The sequence below is a fragment of the Homo sapiens genome, chromosome 5, assembly GCF_000001405.40.
Source record: "Homo sapiens chromosome 5, GRCh38.p14 Primary Assembly".
NCBI lineage: Eukaryota > Metazoa > Chordata > Mammalia > Primates > Hominidae > Homo > Homo sapiens.
The window spans coordinates 78,442,660-78,458,459 of NC_000005.10; the positions used below are offsets into that span (position 1 = coordinate 78,442,660).

Genomic DNA, 15,800 nt, shown 5'->3' on the forward strand with positions numbered 1-15,800 from the left:
ATTTTTTTGTTCAAAGGTAATTTGAAAATGGTTATCTACTGGCTGATTTTGTCTGTTTAAGCTTTCTACATTGAGTATCAATTCAAATGTGAGATTTTAGTTGTTATATTCTCCTATATATAAGAAACACTGCATTGAGCATTTGGGGTTATTATACTTTAGCTAGTGGTGTTCTATTCCTTGATAATTAAATTTCTTGGAGATGATGGAATTGAAATATTATCTTAGAGGTAGTTTTATCACTTGGTTAAGAATTTTAGCTTAAGGCTGGGTGCCATGGCTCATGCCTGTAATCCCAGCACTTTGGGAGGCCAAGGCAGCCGGATCATGAGGTCAGGAGTTCGAGACCATCTTGGCTAACACGGTGAATCCCTGTCTTTACTAAAAATACAAAAACAAAAATATTAGCTGGGTGTGGTGGTGGGTGCCTGTAGTCCCAGCTATGCGTGAGGCTGAGGCAGGAGAATGGCATGAACCCTGGAGGCAGAGCTTGCAGTGAGCTGAGATCGTACCACTGCACTCCAGCCTGGGCAACAGAGCTAGACTCTGTCTCAAAAAAAAAAAAAAAAAAAAAAAAAGAATTTTACCTTAATAGATGCACAGATAAGTAGCAGCATTTCTGTTACCAGCTATGTATTTGGATTATTTGACCTCTCTAAATCTGTTTGCTTATCCGTAAAATGGAGTCAATATTAGTGTGCCTCACGTGGGTGTTGTAAGGTTTGAATGGGCAATACATGTGTTTGACATAGTGCTTGGCAAATAATGTTCAAAAAATATTAGCTATTATTAAGTCTGTTAAGTATAGAGGATTCAGAGTTTGCACCAAGGTTGTGGTCTAGGTTTGATATTGTTCAGGTTTAAAACTTCATGTAATGTGAGCTTTTTCATTGACCCCTGTGCTTTTGACAAAGCATAGGTGGGAAGAAGAGAGTTCAGAGTCTCTTTCATTCCAGTCCTGTGCTTTTTTAGCCAGACTAGTGAGTGGTTTTGCTTTTTTTTTTTTTTTTTTTTTTTTGAGATAGGATCTCATTCTGTCACCCAGGCTGGAATACAGTAGCACAACCATTGTTCATTGCTGCTTTATTTTCCAGGCTCAAATGATCCTCCTGCCTCAGCCTCCCAAATAGGCAGGACTACAGGCATGTGCCACTACACCTAATTTTTCTTATTTTTAATAGAGATGAGGTCTTACTGTATTGCCCCACGCTGGTCTTGAACTCCTGAGCTCAAGCGAACCTCCCACCTTGGCTCCTAAAGTTCTAGGATTACAAGCGTCAACCATTGTGCCCAGCTCTTAATAGATTTTAAGAGATAGACTCTATTATAAATTTAGAATTTTCGAATCTTCTTCCAAAAAAACACATATGCAAATTTTTTTTGCACTGTTGTGGTAAGGGGCAGTTCATAGTGCTGCCTTTCAAGCCTACTAATAGACTCCCTATTCTGGAGAAAGAATTCATTTCAGCATAAAGTTACTAAAGAGGGAATATGGGGCTGGTTTAGACAGTTTTGGAGCCCCCAAATAAGACAAGAAAAGCACCTGTACTTCTTAGGTTTCTGTGTTAGTCCATTTTCATATTGCTATGAAGAAATGCTCAAGACTGGTTAATTTATAAAGAAAAAGATGTTTAATGGACTCACAGTTCCACATGGCTGGGGAGGCCTCACAATCATGGCAGAAGGGGAAGGAGGAGCAAAGGTATGTCTTACATGGTGGCAGGCAAGAGAGTGTGTGCAGGGGAACTGCCCTTTATAAAACCATGCAGTCTTGTGAGACTTACTCACTTTCATGAGAACAGCACAGGAAAACCTGCCCCCATGATTCAGTTACTTGCCACCAGGTCCCTCCCATGACATGTGAGGATTCTGGAAGCTACAATTCAAGATGAGATTTGAGTGGGGACACAGCCAAATTCTATCAGTTTCTTTTTATTCTAATGCCTGTACACCATCAATAATTTCTTGTATTACTTGATTCTAGTAGTCTTGATTGTTAGCAACCATGTTCCAGAAATTTTCAGTATCTTATCAATAGCCTAATGCCACTTCTGTGAGCAGGACATTACTTCTGTGAGCAAAACAGTTTATTTTGATACAGTATTACATGAGTGTAATACAGGTATCAACAAGTAATGTTTATCAGTTGCTTTCTGTGTGCCTATGCATTCCCAGCTAAGCACTTTACCTGCAGTATTTTATTTATATAAAAGCATGTTCCACTGTTACCCCCATTTTGCAAATGGAAAATCTCAGGCTTAATACTTTGCCCAAAGTTACACAACTTTAAGTGGGAGAGTCTGGATTCAAACCCAAATCTGTAAATTCATGTTCTCTTATCTGCTATGTTGAGTTGCCAGAGTTAAATACATTTAGTGGTGTGCTTTAGTTAACTTGTGTCCCCCCATCTTAGCCCTTGAAATAATGAAATACTTTGTCTTTTCCCATCCCAGCAAATGGTAGTTGTAATTAATATCTCTGGTATTGATTTGGCATGTGAAATAAACTTTACAAGATCAAATAAGCTTATTTTCTGAGATTTATTATCATACTTCAGGGAAGAACTTTTCTATTAAAATTGTGCTGCAGCTTGACTGTGGAAGACATTAAACCAAAAACTACTTGCTTATTTGAAATTCAGTTTTCCAGTAGGCTTTGATCTGAAAGAGCCAGGATGGCAAGTAGTAGAGAGCTTTTATTTATGTGTTCTGATGAGAAAATACATTACTTAGGTGGATTTATTATGAATAAATATCCATGATACCGTAAATACTTTATCGTAAACTGAGGCAGATTACAATTTAATTCACATAGGTTAAATCAATGTATAGTGTTTTTATTTTTAAATCTATATTTCTGTTCTTTGGTTTAAAATGGCTATGTTCAAGCTGATTTAAACAGTCTGCTTTCTGGTCTCTTCCTGCACGCAAGACCCACCTTCTGAATGCCAATAGAAGTTCTTCTTCCCCTGATGATGTATTTTTTTTTTTCCTGGACCTTTTCTGATTCTGGCTAAGGTACAGCTCTCCTGGGTGTCTTCTGGCTATTCCAGAGCTCCTCAGCTTTTCCTTGCCCTTCCCTCAAGCATCTGAAAGGAACTTGATATTCACGTGATGATTGTATTGCTTCATTTTGTTTTGAATTTGACTGATTTTGCATTTGCAGTAATTTGGACAGCTCAGGTAAAGGAAGATTTGTGCTCTCTTGGAGATAAGAGTCTAGGTAGTTAAGTAAGTGCTGGGATATGGAGTTTATGTCTTAGAGAACTTTGAAGTGTTTTAAAATAATTATTCGTATTAACGGTCAGTGTGCAATGAAATGAATTTTATTGTCTCCTTATTCAGAAATAGAAAAGTTGGTAAAATGAAATAAATACAATCTTTGAGAATGATATTTAACCTGCTTAATATCTTTTATTTAGCTTTATTTAAAATAAAACTAGACAAAAGTAAACTTTGAGGTTTTCATTTGATCAGTTTTGTACACTAACTGTGCATTTGTGTGTACTAACTGTACATACAGAAAGAGGAAGGTGGACTAGTTTTAACATACCTCCATTTGTATTTGAAAGCAATATTTTAGAAATAGTTTTTGAGTAGGACTTCTTAATTTTTAAAACATATTCAGTATCTTCTAATAGATTTCTTAACTAGAAATTACAGTTAGGCAGTTTCAGCTTCTAGAATGTGTCTAAGAATTTGGAACAAGGTAATGGACATAGCTGTTGTGAAGGCTGTAGACATTATTCAGCCCCTTTTTAGAGCACATACTTTATATATTTATAATGTAAAATATTTTAATAGTCTGGTTTCTTGGCACACAAAATAGTAAAAACTCTAAGTGAAAAAAATATAATATTAAGTTATATTCTTCATTCTTTGCCAGAGGGACAGGGAAATAGAAATATACTTTAGAAGTGTCTGTTTCAAAATAGTAAAAGAAAAATTAGTATTAAAAGTGATGTGTTCTATAGTATCCCTGGAGATATGAGTCATACATAGGATTTCTATTCAGTATTATAAAAATAGCATTTTATATTGTAGATTTTGATATTGGTTATTTTTCATTAATAATTTTTTCTCAGCTGTATGGTCATTAATACCAGCTTTGGTGTAATATAGTACTGCTGCAATAAGATGTGGAACCATTTAGTTTAAATCTGACTGACATAGAAAACATTATTAATGAACCATTAAAATTTGCTCTTTTGTGACTCAGGGGAAATGGCTGATTCTAGAGTAGGGGTCTCCAACCCCTGGGCTGTGGGCTTGTACTGGCCAGTGACCTGTTAGAAACTGGGCCACACAGCAGGAAGTGAGCACCAGCTAGCGAGCATTACCACCTGAGCTCTGCCTCCTGTCACATCAACAGTGGCATTAGATTCTCATAGGAGCACAAACCCTATTGTGAACTGCGTGTGCAAAGGATCTAGGTTGCATGCTCCTTATGAGAATCTAATACCTGATGATCTGAGATAGTTTGATCCTGAAACCATCCCACCCCACCATACGTAGAAAAATTGTCTTCCACGAAACAGGTCCCTGGTGCCAAAAAGGTTGGGGACCACTGCTTTAATGTATTCATGTTAACTCATTGCCATGTTTTATACTGGTTGTAGAAATGTAAAAACCTTAAAATAGTCAAGACAACTTTGAAAAAGAACAATAAAGTTGATGGACTAACACCACCTAATTTGAAGACTTACTAGAAAACTTCAAAATAGTATAATATTGACAAAAAGGTAGACAAATAGAAGAGTGGGAGAGAATGGCAAGCCCAGAAATAAACCCAGCCATAGACAGACTACTAATTTTGAGAAAGGTACAAAGGGAACGTAATGCAGAAAGGACAGTCTTTTTAAGAAATGCTGCTAGAACAATTGGATAACCATATGCAAAAAAGAACTTCATACTTGATATGATATTTTAAAAAATTAACTCAAAAAAGAACATAGACTTGAATGTAAAACTGAAAATAGAAAACTCCTAGAAAAAAACAGGAAAAAAAAAATCTTTGCATTCTTGGCTTTGGCAGATTTCTCAGAAACAACAGTAAAATCAAGATATATAAAAGAACAAGCGTGAATACACTGGAGTTCGTAAAAAGGCAAAACTCCTTTTCAAAAGAAACTTTCTTCTTCTTCTTCCTCCTCCCTCCTCCCCCTCTCCCTCCCCTCCCTTCTTTCCCCTCCCTCCTCCCCTGCCCCCCTTCCCCTACCCCTTCCTCCCCCTTCTCCCTCCTCCCTCTTCTCCCTCCTGCCTCCTTCCCCCTTCCTCCCTCCTTCCCCCTCTTTCCCTGTCCTCCCTCTCCTCCCCTCCTCCCCCGTCCTCTCCTCCTCCCTCCTCTCCTCCTCCCCTCTCCTTCCCCCTCCTCCCCTTCTCCCCGTTCCCCCTCCTCTCCCCCTCCCCCTCCCTCCTCCTTTCCCCCTCCCCCTTCCCCCTACTCCACTACTGCTACTACTACTTCTTCCTCTTCTTCCTCCTCTTCTTCTTCCTCCTTCTCCTCCTCCTCCTCTTCCTCTTCCCTTTTGTTTTTTTTTGTTTTTTTTTAAAATAAAGATGGGTGTGTCACCATGTTGCCCAGGCTCATGTCAAACTCCTAGCCTCAAGCAGTCCTCTTGCCTCAATGTCTAAATAGCTGAGATTACAGGTGTGAACCATTACACCAGCTCCCAAAAGACACTCTTAAGAGAATGAAAAGACAAGCAACAGACGGAGGGAAAATCTTTGTCAAGGATATATCTGAAAGAGGACTTGTATTTCTAGAATATAGTTTTAAAAACTCTCACAACTCAACGATAAAGGAAAAAGCAATCTAATTACAACATCAGAAAAATATTTTAATTAGTTCATGAAAGAAGATCTATATATGACAAAAAGCACATAAAAAGATGCTCAACAACATTACTTATTAGGAAGATGCAAATTAAAACCATGTAAGATATTACTGTACAGCTATTACAATAGCTAGAATTAAAAAGACTGTAACAAGTGTTAATGAGATGTGGAGGAGCTGGAATACTCATGTACTGCCAGTGGGGATGAAAAGTAGAACAACCAGGCTGGGCACAGTGGCTCATGCCTGTAATCCCAGCACTTTGGGAGGCCGAGGCGGGCAGATCACCTGAGGTTGGGAGTTCGAGACCAACCTGACCAACGTGGAGAAACCCCCTCTCTACTAAAAATGCAAAATTAGCTGGGCATGGTGGCCCATGCCTGTAATCCCAACTACTCGGGAGGCTGAGACAGGAGAATCGCTTGAACCTGGGAGGCAGAGGTTGTGGTGAGCCAAGATTGCGCCATTGCACTCCAACTTGGGCAAGAAGAGCAAAACTCCGTCTCAAAAAAAAAAAAGAAAATGTAAATAAAAATAGAACAACCTGTTTGTAAAACAGTTTGGCAGTTTCTTAAAAAGTTAAACGTATACCTATGATATGTTCCAGCCTTCCCACTTGTAGGTATTTACCTAAGAGAAAAAGGAAATATATGTTCATGGGAAGACTTGTACATGACTATTAATAATAGCTTTATTATGAATAATAACAATAATAACTTTATTTATAATAATAAAAAACTAGAAACAACCTAACTGTCCCAACAGTGAATGAATAAACTGTGGTATATTTACACAGTGGAATACTACTCAGCAATGAAAAGGAATGAACTTTTGATACATGCCACAAAACTGGGTGAATCTCAGAATAGCTGTGCTGAGTAAAATAAGCCAGACAAGGAAAAAAGACTACATAATATATGATCCCATTTATATAAAATTCTATAAAATAGTCAAACTATGGTAACAGAAAAACAGTGGGTAGGGTGGGGCTACCAAGGGGCTCAAGGAAACTTTGGGGATATGCTCATCATAGTGATTGGGGAATCAAGTATATAAATATGTCAAAAATTATTAAAGCGATATTTTAAATATTTGCAATTCATTGTGTGTTGATTGTAATTCTATGATGCTGTTTAATAAAAGAAGAAAACGAGTAAGTTTTTTTGTCAAGAGGGATTGTGGTGCAGTTGGAAATTGAAAGTTTGTCCTTGTGAGGTTAGAATAACGATATCTAGTGTTAGCATGACGAGTTCACATAAGTTATTACAATGTTGTTAACTTGAGGCCTCAGGTGGTTGCCACTTTTTTTTGTTTGTGCTTTTAAGGTTTGAATGTCATTCTGCAGGTAAATGTAAAGATAATGAGAAAAATGACGTTTTTCCCCTTCTTTCTCTCCCCCTAACCCCCTTTTTTCTTTCTTTCTTTTTTTTTTTCAAAGGAGTGACAGTTCATTTAGATTCTTTGTATTCTTCTTCGTCTATATTTGTCAGTTTGCTGTACATGTACTCCAAGCTGCAGGATTTCATAACTGGGGCAATTGGTAAGTTTTTTTTTTTACTAGTTTTCAGCTTTAATCTAATATTGTAATATAATTTTTGGCTTCCTAATCTAGTTAACACAGATAAACCAGATTAGAAAAATTAAATAAAAAGCAAAAATTGTTTTAAAAATACAATTTTAAAATGTCATAAGGCATAAACTTTGGACAAACCTGTGTCTTTGAAGATTATGTTCCCATCTATAAAAACAGCACATTTTTTCTAGTTTAAATAAAACATGTATGTAAGGGCGCTAAGAGGAAGACTGCAAAAGAGACTGAGGTGGTCAGAGAGATAGAGGGACCAAGGAATGTGGAAGGGACAGGAAAGAGCTTCAGGGATTCTAAGGAAAAGGGATACCTATTATGTATAAAGCCCTATTTTAGGTATACAAACAGATATATTTTTATATACGAATATACATGGACACTTGTCTTTGAAAGGTAGAATAACTGCACACACGTTATATACATATATCTTTAAACAATCGAATCATTCTCATGGCTCATTCAGTGGGGGACCTCAGAAATGGAGACTATCTGGACCCAGGCTAGGAGGTAATAGCAGATTTAGGTCTCTCTTTACATTCTGATGCAAACATTCCTTGAGTGAAATGGTGGGTGGAAGAGTACACATCTCTAAAATTATCTGTTCCTCTCTTCTTTCTTTTATACTGACTTGCATTCAGCTGTATTCTTACATGTCAGAAGAATGTGTGATGCAACTTTGTTCCACTGTGTACATTAAACCAAAATTGAAATTAGCATTTAATTAGAATGTGTTGAGGACTTACATTTAGTATTCTGCTACTGAAGTGGAGAAGTGATTGGCAGACAACTCCTGGCAGTTCTGCAGAGCTCCTAATGGGCATAAATACATGCAGAAAATTTATATAGATATTTAAAATCAGTTCTCAGATAAAGTAGTTTTTATTATTATTTTAAATAGTGTCTAGTTTTTGGTATTTTAGGGAAAGGAAATGTTTTAAATGTTTAATTAAAAATATACTGCTTACTTTAACAGCACGAGGTTTTTTTAATTCTCGTGAAAGTGAGGTAATTTCTTTCGCTTTTTAGCACAGACATAGGGAAAATGCTAAAATTGAGCATAACAGCATGTATGTGACTAAATAGCGTAAAAAGAGTCTGCTAATGAGGGTGCATACAGAATTGACCTGTTTTAAGATAGACCCTCATGTAGTTCAGATTTTTTAGGTTAAACTTTTTACTTTTAGGTAATCATAGATTCACATACAATCATAATAAATAACACAGAAATCTCAGGTACCCTTTATCCTGTTTCACCCAATGGTAATAATCTTGTAGAACTATAGTAAAATATAAATACCAAGATCTTGACATTGATAGTAAAGATAAAGCACATTTTCATCACCAGAGGATTCCTCATGTTGCTTTTTCATAGCCACTCTCAAAACTCCCCTTTTCCCACTCCTTAACCCCTGGCAATCACTAATGTGTTCTTCATTTTTGTTGTTTTGTCATTTCAAGAAGGTTATAGATGTGGAATCATAGTCTACAACCTTTGGCTTTTTTCCCCTCAGTGTTATTTTCTGGAGATTTATCCAGGTTGTTATGTTTATCTGTAGTTTATTCTAATTTGATTGATTGATTGATTGATTGATTGAGACAGAGTCTCGCCCTATCACCCAGGCTGGAGTGCCGTGGCATGATCTCAGCTCACTGCCTCCACCTCCTCGGTTCAAGTGATTCTCATGCCTCAGCCTCCCGAGTAGCTGGGATTACAGGCGCCTGCCACCCAGCCCAGCTAATTTTTCTATTTTTAGTAGAGACAGGATTTCGCCATGTTGCCCAGGCAGGTCTTGAAGTCCTGGCCTCGTGTGATCTGCCCGCCTCAGCCTTCCATAATACTGGGATTACAAGCGTGAGCTACCATGTCTGGCCTCCTTTTTATTTTTGAGTAGTATTCTATGATATGGATGTATCACAGGTTATTTAACTGTTCACCAGTTGAAGGGCATCAGTATTGTGTCCAGTTTTGGACTATTACAAATAAAGCTGCCATGAAATTTGTGAATAGATTTTTGTGTGAACATAATTTTCATTTCTCTGGGATAAATGCCCAAGAGTGTAATTATTGGATTATATGGATGTTGCACATTTAGTTTTCTTTTCTTTTTTTTTTTATTATACTTTAAGTTTTAGGGTACATGTGCACATTGTGCAGGTTAGTTACATATGTATACATGTGCCATGCTGGTGCGCTGCACCCACTAACTCGTCATCTAGCATTAGGTATATCTCCCAATGCTATCCCTCCCCCCTCCCTCCCCCCACCCCACGACAGTCCCCAGAGTGTGATATTCCCCTTCCTGTGTCCATGTGATCTCATTGTTCAATTCCCACCTATGAGTGAGAATATGCGGTGTTTGGTTTTTTGTTCTTGCGATAGTTTACTGAGAATGATGATTTCCAATTTCATCCATGTCCCTACAAAGGACATGAACTCATCATTTTTTATGGCTGCATAGTATTCCATGGTGTATATGTGCCACATTTTCTTAATCCAGTCTATCATTGTTGGACATTTGGGTTGGTTCCAAGTCTTTGCCATTGTGAATAATGCTGCAATAAACATACGTGTGCATGTGTCTTTATAGCAGCATGATTTATAGTCCTTTGGGTATATACCAGTAATGGGATGGCTGGGTCAAATGGTATTTCTAGTTCTAGATCCCTGAGGAATCGCCACACTGACTTCCACAATGGTTGAACTAGTTTACAGTCCCACCAACAGTGTAAAAGTGTTCCTATTTCTCCACATCCTCTCCAGCACCTGTTGTTTCCTGACTTTTTAATGATCGCCATTCTAACTGGTGTGAGATGATATCTCATTGTGGTTTTGATTTGCATTTCTCTGATGGCCACTGATGAGCATTTTTTCATGTGTTTTTTGGCTGCATAAATGTCTTCTTTTGAGAAGTGTCTGTTCATGTCCTTCGCCCACTTTTTGATGGGGTTGTTTGTTTTTTTCTTGTAAATTTGTTTGAGTTCATTGTAGATTCTGGATATTAGCCCTTTGTCAGACGAGTAGGTTGCGAAAATTTTCTCCCATTTTGTAGGTTGCCTGTTCACTGTGATGGTAGTTTCTTTTGCTGTGCAGAAGCTCTTTAGTTTAATTAGATCCCATTTGTCAATTTTGGCTTTTGTTGCCATTGCTTTTGGTGTTTTGGACATGAAGTCCTTGCCCATGCCTATGTCCTGAATGGTAATGCCCAGGTTTTCTTCTAGGGTTTTTATGGTTTTAGGTCTAACGTTTAAGTCTTTAATCCATCTTGAATTGATTTTTGTATAAGGTGTAAGGAAGGGATCCAGTTTCAGCTTTCTACATATGGCTAGCCAGTTTTCCCAGCACCATTTATTAAACAGGGAATCCTTTCCCCATTGCTTGTTTTTCTCAGGTTTGTCAAAGATCAGATAGTTGTAGATGTGTGGCGTTATTTCTGAGGGCTCTGTTCTGTTCCATTGATCTATATCTCTGTTTTGGTACCAGTACCATGCTGTTTTGGTTACTGTAGCCTTGTAGTATAGTTTGAAGTCAGGTAGTGTGATGCCTCCAGCTTTGTTCTTTTGGCTTAGGATAGCCTTGGCGATGCGGGCTCTTTTTTGGTTCCATATGAACTTTAAAGTAGTTTTTTCCAGTTCTGTGAAGAAAGTCATTGGTAGCTTTATGGCGATGGCATTGAATCTGTAAATTACCTTGGGCAGTATGGCCATTTTCACGATATTGATTCTTCCTACCCATGAGCATGGAATGTTCTTCCATTTGTTTGTATCCTCTTTTATTTCCTTGAGCAGTGGTTTGTAGTTCTCCTTGAAGAGGTCCTTCACATCCCTTGTAAGTTGGATTCCTGGGTATTTTATTCTCTTTGAAGCAATTGTGAATGGGAGTTCACTCATGATTTGGCTCTCTGTCTGTTATTGGTGTATAAGAATGCTTGTGATTTTTGCACATTGATTTTGTATCCTGAGACTTTGCTGAAGTTGCTTCTCAGCTTAAGGAGATTTTGGGCTGAGACAGTGGGGTTTTCTAGATATACAATCATGTCGTCTGCAAACAGGGACAATTTGACTTCCTCTTTTCCTAATTGAATGCCCTTTATTTCCTTCTCCTGCCTAATTGCCCTGGCCAGAACTTCCAACACTATGTTGAATAGGAGTGGTGAGAGAGGGCATCCCTGTCTTGTGCCAGTTTTCAAAGGGAATGCTTCCAGTTCTTACCCATTCAGTATGATATTGGCTGTGGGGTTGTCATAGATAGCTCTTATTATTTTGAAATACGTCCCATCAATACCTAATTTATTGAGAGTTTTTAGCATGAAGTGTTGTTGAATTTTGTCAAAGGCTTTTTCTGCATCTATTGAGATAATCATGTGGTTTTTGTCTTTGGCTCTGTTTATATGCTGGATTACATTTATTGATTTGCATATATTGAACCAGCCTTGCATCCCAGGGATGAAGCCCACTTGATCATGGTGGATAAGCTTTTTGATGTGCTGCTGGATTCGTTTTGCCAGTATTTTATTGAGGATTTTTGCGTCAATGTTCATCAAGGATATTGGTCTAAAATTCTCTTTTTTGGTTGTGTCTCTGCCAGGCTTTGGTATCAGAATGATGCTGGCCTCATAAAATGACTTAGGGAGGATTCCCTCTTTTTCTATTGATTGGAATAGTTTCAGAAGGAATGGTACCAGTTCCTCCTTGTACCTCTGATCGAATTCGGCTGTGAATCCATCTGGTCCTGGACTCTTTTTGGTTGGTAAAATATTGATTATTGCCACAATTTCAGATCCTGTTATTGGTCTATTCAGAGATTCAACTTCTTCCTGGTTTAGTCTTGGGAGAGTGTATGTGTCGAGGAATTTATCCATTTCTTCTAGATTTTCTAGTTGATTTGCGTAGAGGTGTTTGTAGTATTCTCTGATGGTAGTTTGTATTTCTGTGGGATCAGTGGTGATATCCCCTTTATCATTTTTTATTGTGTCTATTTGATTCTTCTCTCTTTTTTTCTTTATTAGTCTTGCTAGTGGTCTATCAATTTTGTTGATCCTTTCAAAAAACCAGCTCCTGGATTCATTAATTTTTTGAAGGGTTTTTTGTGTCTCTATTTCCTTCAGTTCTGCTCTGATTTTAGTTATTTCTTGCCTTCTGCTAGCTTTTGAACGTGTTTGCCCTTGCTTTTCTAGTTCTTTTAATTGTGATGTTAGGGTGTCAATTTTGGATCTTTCCTGCTTTCTCTTGTGGGCATTTAGTGCTATAAATTTCCCTCTACACACTGCTTTGAATGCATCCCAGAGATTCTGGTATGCTGTGTCTTTGTTCTCATTGGTTTCAAAGAACATCTTTATTTCTGCCTTCATTTCGTTATGTATCCAGTAGTCATTCAGGAGCAGGTTGTTCAGTTTCCATGTAGTTGAGTGGTTTTGAGTGAGATTCTTAATCCTGAGTTCTAGTTTGATTGCACTGTGGTCTGAGAGATAGTTTGTTATAATTTCTATTCTTTTACATTTGCTGAGGAGAGCTTTACTTCCAAGTATGTGGTCAATTTTGGAATAGGTGTGGTGTGGTGCTGAAAAAAATGTATATTCTGTTGATTTGGGGTGGAGAGTTCTGTAGATGTCTATTAGGTCTGCTTGGTGCAGAGCTGAGTTCAATTCCTGGGTATCCTTATTGACTTTCTGTCTTGTTGATCTGTCTAATGTTGACAGTGGGGTGTTAAAGTCTCCCATTATTAATGTGTGGGAGTCTAAGTCTCTTTGTAGGTCACTCAGGACTTGCTTTATGAATCTGGGTGCTCCTGTATTGGGTGCATATATATTTAGGATAGTTAGCTCTTCTTGTTGAATTGATCCCTTTACCATTATGTAATGGCCTTCTTTGTCTCTTTTGATCTTTGTTGGTTTAAAGTCTGTTTTATCAGAGAGTAGGATTGCAACCCCTGCCTTTTTTTGTTTTCCATTTGCTTGGTAGATCTTCCTCCATCCTTTTATTTTGAGCCTATGTGTGTCTCTGCACATGAGATGGGTTTCCTGAATACAGCACACTGATGGGTCTTGACTCTTTATCCAATTTGCCAGTCTGTGTCTTTTAATTGGAGCATTTAGTCCATTTACATTTAAAGTTAATATTGTTATGTGTGAATTTGATCCTGTCATTATGATGTTAGCTGGTGATTTTGCTCGTTAGTTGATGCAGTTTCTTCCTAGTCTCGATGGTCTTTACATTTTGGCATGATTTTGCAGCGGCTGGTACCGGTTGTTCTTTTCCATGTTTAGCGTTTCCTTCAGGAACTCTTTTAGGGCAGGCCTGGTGGTGACAAAATCTCTCAGCATTTGCTTGTTTGTAAAGTATTTTATTTCTCCTTCACTTATGAAGTTTAGTTTGGCTGGATATGAAATTCTGGGTTGAAAATTCTTTTCTTTAAGAATGTTGAATATTGGCCCCCACTCTCTTCTGGCTTGTAGGGTTTCTGCCGACAGATCTGCTGTTAGTCTGATGGGCTTCCCTTTGAGGGTAACCCGACCTTTCTCTCTGGCTGCCCTTAACATTTTTTCCTTCATTTCAACTTTGGTGAATCTGACAATAATGTGTCTTGGAGTTGCTCTTCTTGAGGAGTATCTTTGTGGTGGTCTCTGTATTTCCTGAATCTGAGCGTTGGCCTGCCTTGCTAGATTGGGGAAGTTCTCCTGGATAATATCCTGCAGAGTGTTTTCCAACTTGGTTCCATTCTCCCCATCACTTTCAGGTACACCAATCAGACGTAGATTAGGTCTTTTCACATAGTCCCATATTTCTTGGAGGCTTTGCTCATTTCTTTTTATTCTTTTTTCTCTAAACTTCCCTTCTTGCTTCATTTCATTCATTTCATCTTCCATTGCTGATACCCTTTCTTCCAGTTGATCGCATGGGCTCCTGAGGCTTCTGCATTCTTCACGTAGTTCTCGAGCCTTGGTTTTCAGCTCCATCAGCTCCTTTAAGCACTTCTCTGTATTGGTTATTCTAGTTATGCATTCTTCTAAATTTTTTTCAAAGTTTTCAACTTCTTTGCCTTTGGTTTGAATGTCCTCCCGTAGCTCAGAGTAATTTGATCGTCTGAAGCCTTCTTCTCTCAACTCGTCAAAGTCATTCTCCATCCAGCTTTGTTCCGTTGCTGGTGAGGAACTGCGTTCCTTTGGTAGAGGAGAGGCGCTCTGCGTTTTAGAGTTTCCAGTTTTTCTGTTCTGTTTTTTCCCCGTCTTTGTGGTTTTATCTACTTTTGGTCTTTGATGATGGTGATGTACAGATGGGTTTTTGGTGTGGATGTCCTTTCTGTTTGTTAGTTTTCCTTCTAACAGACAGGACCCTCAGCTGCAGGTCTGTTGGAATACCCTGTCGTGTAAGGTGTCAGTGTGCCCCTGCTGGGGGGTGCCTCCCAGTTAGGCTGCTCGGGGGTCAGGGGTCAGGGACCCAGTTGAGGAGGCAGTCTGCCCGTTCTCAGATCTCCAGCTGCGTGCTGGGAGAACCACTGCTCTCTTCAAAGCTGTCAGACAGGGACATTTAAGTCTGCAGAGGTTACTGCTGACTTTTTGTTTGTCTGTGCCCTGCCCCCAGAGGTGGAGCCTTCAGAGGCAGGCAGTCCTCCTTGAGCTGTGGTGGGCTCCACCCAGTTCGAGCTTCCCGGCTGCTTTGTTTACCTAAGCAAGCCTGGGCAATGGTGGGCGCCCCTCCCCCAGCCTCGCTGCCGCCTTGCAGTTTGATCTCAGATTGCTGTGCTAGCAATCAGCGAGACTCCGTGGGCGTAGGACCCTCCGAGCCAGGTGCAGGATATAATCTCGTGGTGCGCCATTTTTTAAGCCGGTCCGAAAGGCGCAATATTCGGGTGGGAGTGACCCGATTTTCCAGGTGCGTCTGTCACCCCTTTCTTTGACTCGGAAAGGGAACTCCCTGACCTCTTGCGCTTCCCAAGTGAGGCAATGCCTCGCCCTGCTTCGGCTTGTGCACGGTGCGCGCACCCACTGACCTGTGCCCACTGTCTGGCACTCCCTAGTGAGATGAACCTGGTACCTCAGATGGAAATGCAGAAATCACCCGTCTTCTGCGTCGCTCTCGCTGGGAGCTGTAGACCGGAGCTGTTCCTATTCGGCCATCTTGGCTCCTCTCCGCATGTTTAGTTTTCTAAAGAAACAGACAAACTGTTCTCTAGAATGCTTGTGCTATTTTACACTCCCACCAACAATTATGAGCAATTTAGTCTCCACTTCCTCACCAGCATTTAGTGGTTATTACTTTTTATTTTAGCCATCCTAATAGGTGTGTAGTGATATCTCATTGTGGTTTTGAACATCTTTTCATGTGCTTATTTGTCGTCTTTATGTCCTCTTAGTAAAATGTCTCTGCATGTCTTTTATCC

At 39.1% G+C, this 15,800-nt stretch overlaps 1 protein-coding gene across 4 annotated transcripts in view, besides 1 other annotated feature; it reads left to right on the plus strand.

The window, feature by feature from the left end:
- SCAMP1 (secretory carrier membrane protein 1) overlaps nt 1-15,800 on the plus strand; it is a 120,123-nt gene that overhangs the window by 82,043 nt on the left and 22,280 nt on the right. For 3 of the 4 annotated variants that reach the window (NR_110885.2, NM_004866.6, NM_001290229.2), the window contains one exon: nt 7,274-7,375. The exons of the other annotated variant lie outside the window; for it this stretch is intronic. Coding sequence is in view for 2 of the 3 variants with exons in the window: in NM_004866.6 (NP_004857.4) it covers nt 7,274-7,375 (102 nt within the window). In the remaining variant the exon portion in view is untranslated. The remainder of the gene's footprint in view (nt 1-7,273; nt 7,376-15,800) is intronic. 4 annotated transcript variants of the gene reach the window in all.
- Nucleotides 14,672-15,281: an enhancer, noted in NCBI's record as "NANOG-H3K27ac-H3K4me1 hESC enhancer chr5:77753154-77753763 (GRCh37/hg19 assembly coordinates)". NCBI's record gives its function as "activates a minimal SCP1, AML or CMV promoter by ChIP-STARR-seq in naive and primed H9 embryonic stem cells {active_cell/tissue: H9 hESC(naive and primed)}" and the evidence as "EXISTENCE:reporter gene assay evidence [ECO:0000049][PMID:30033119]".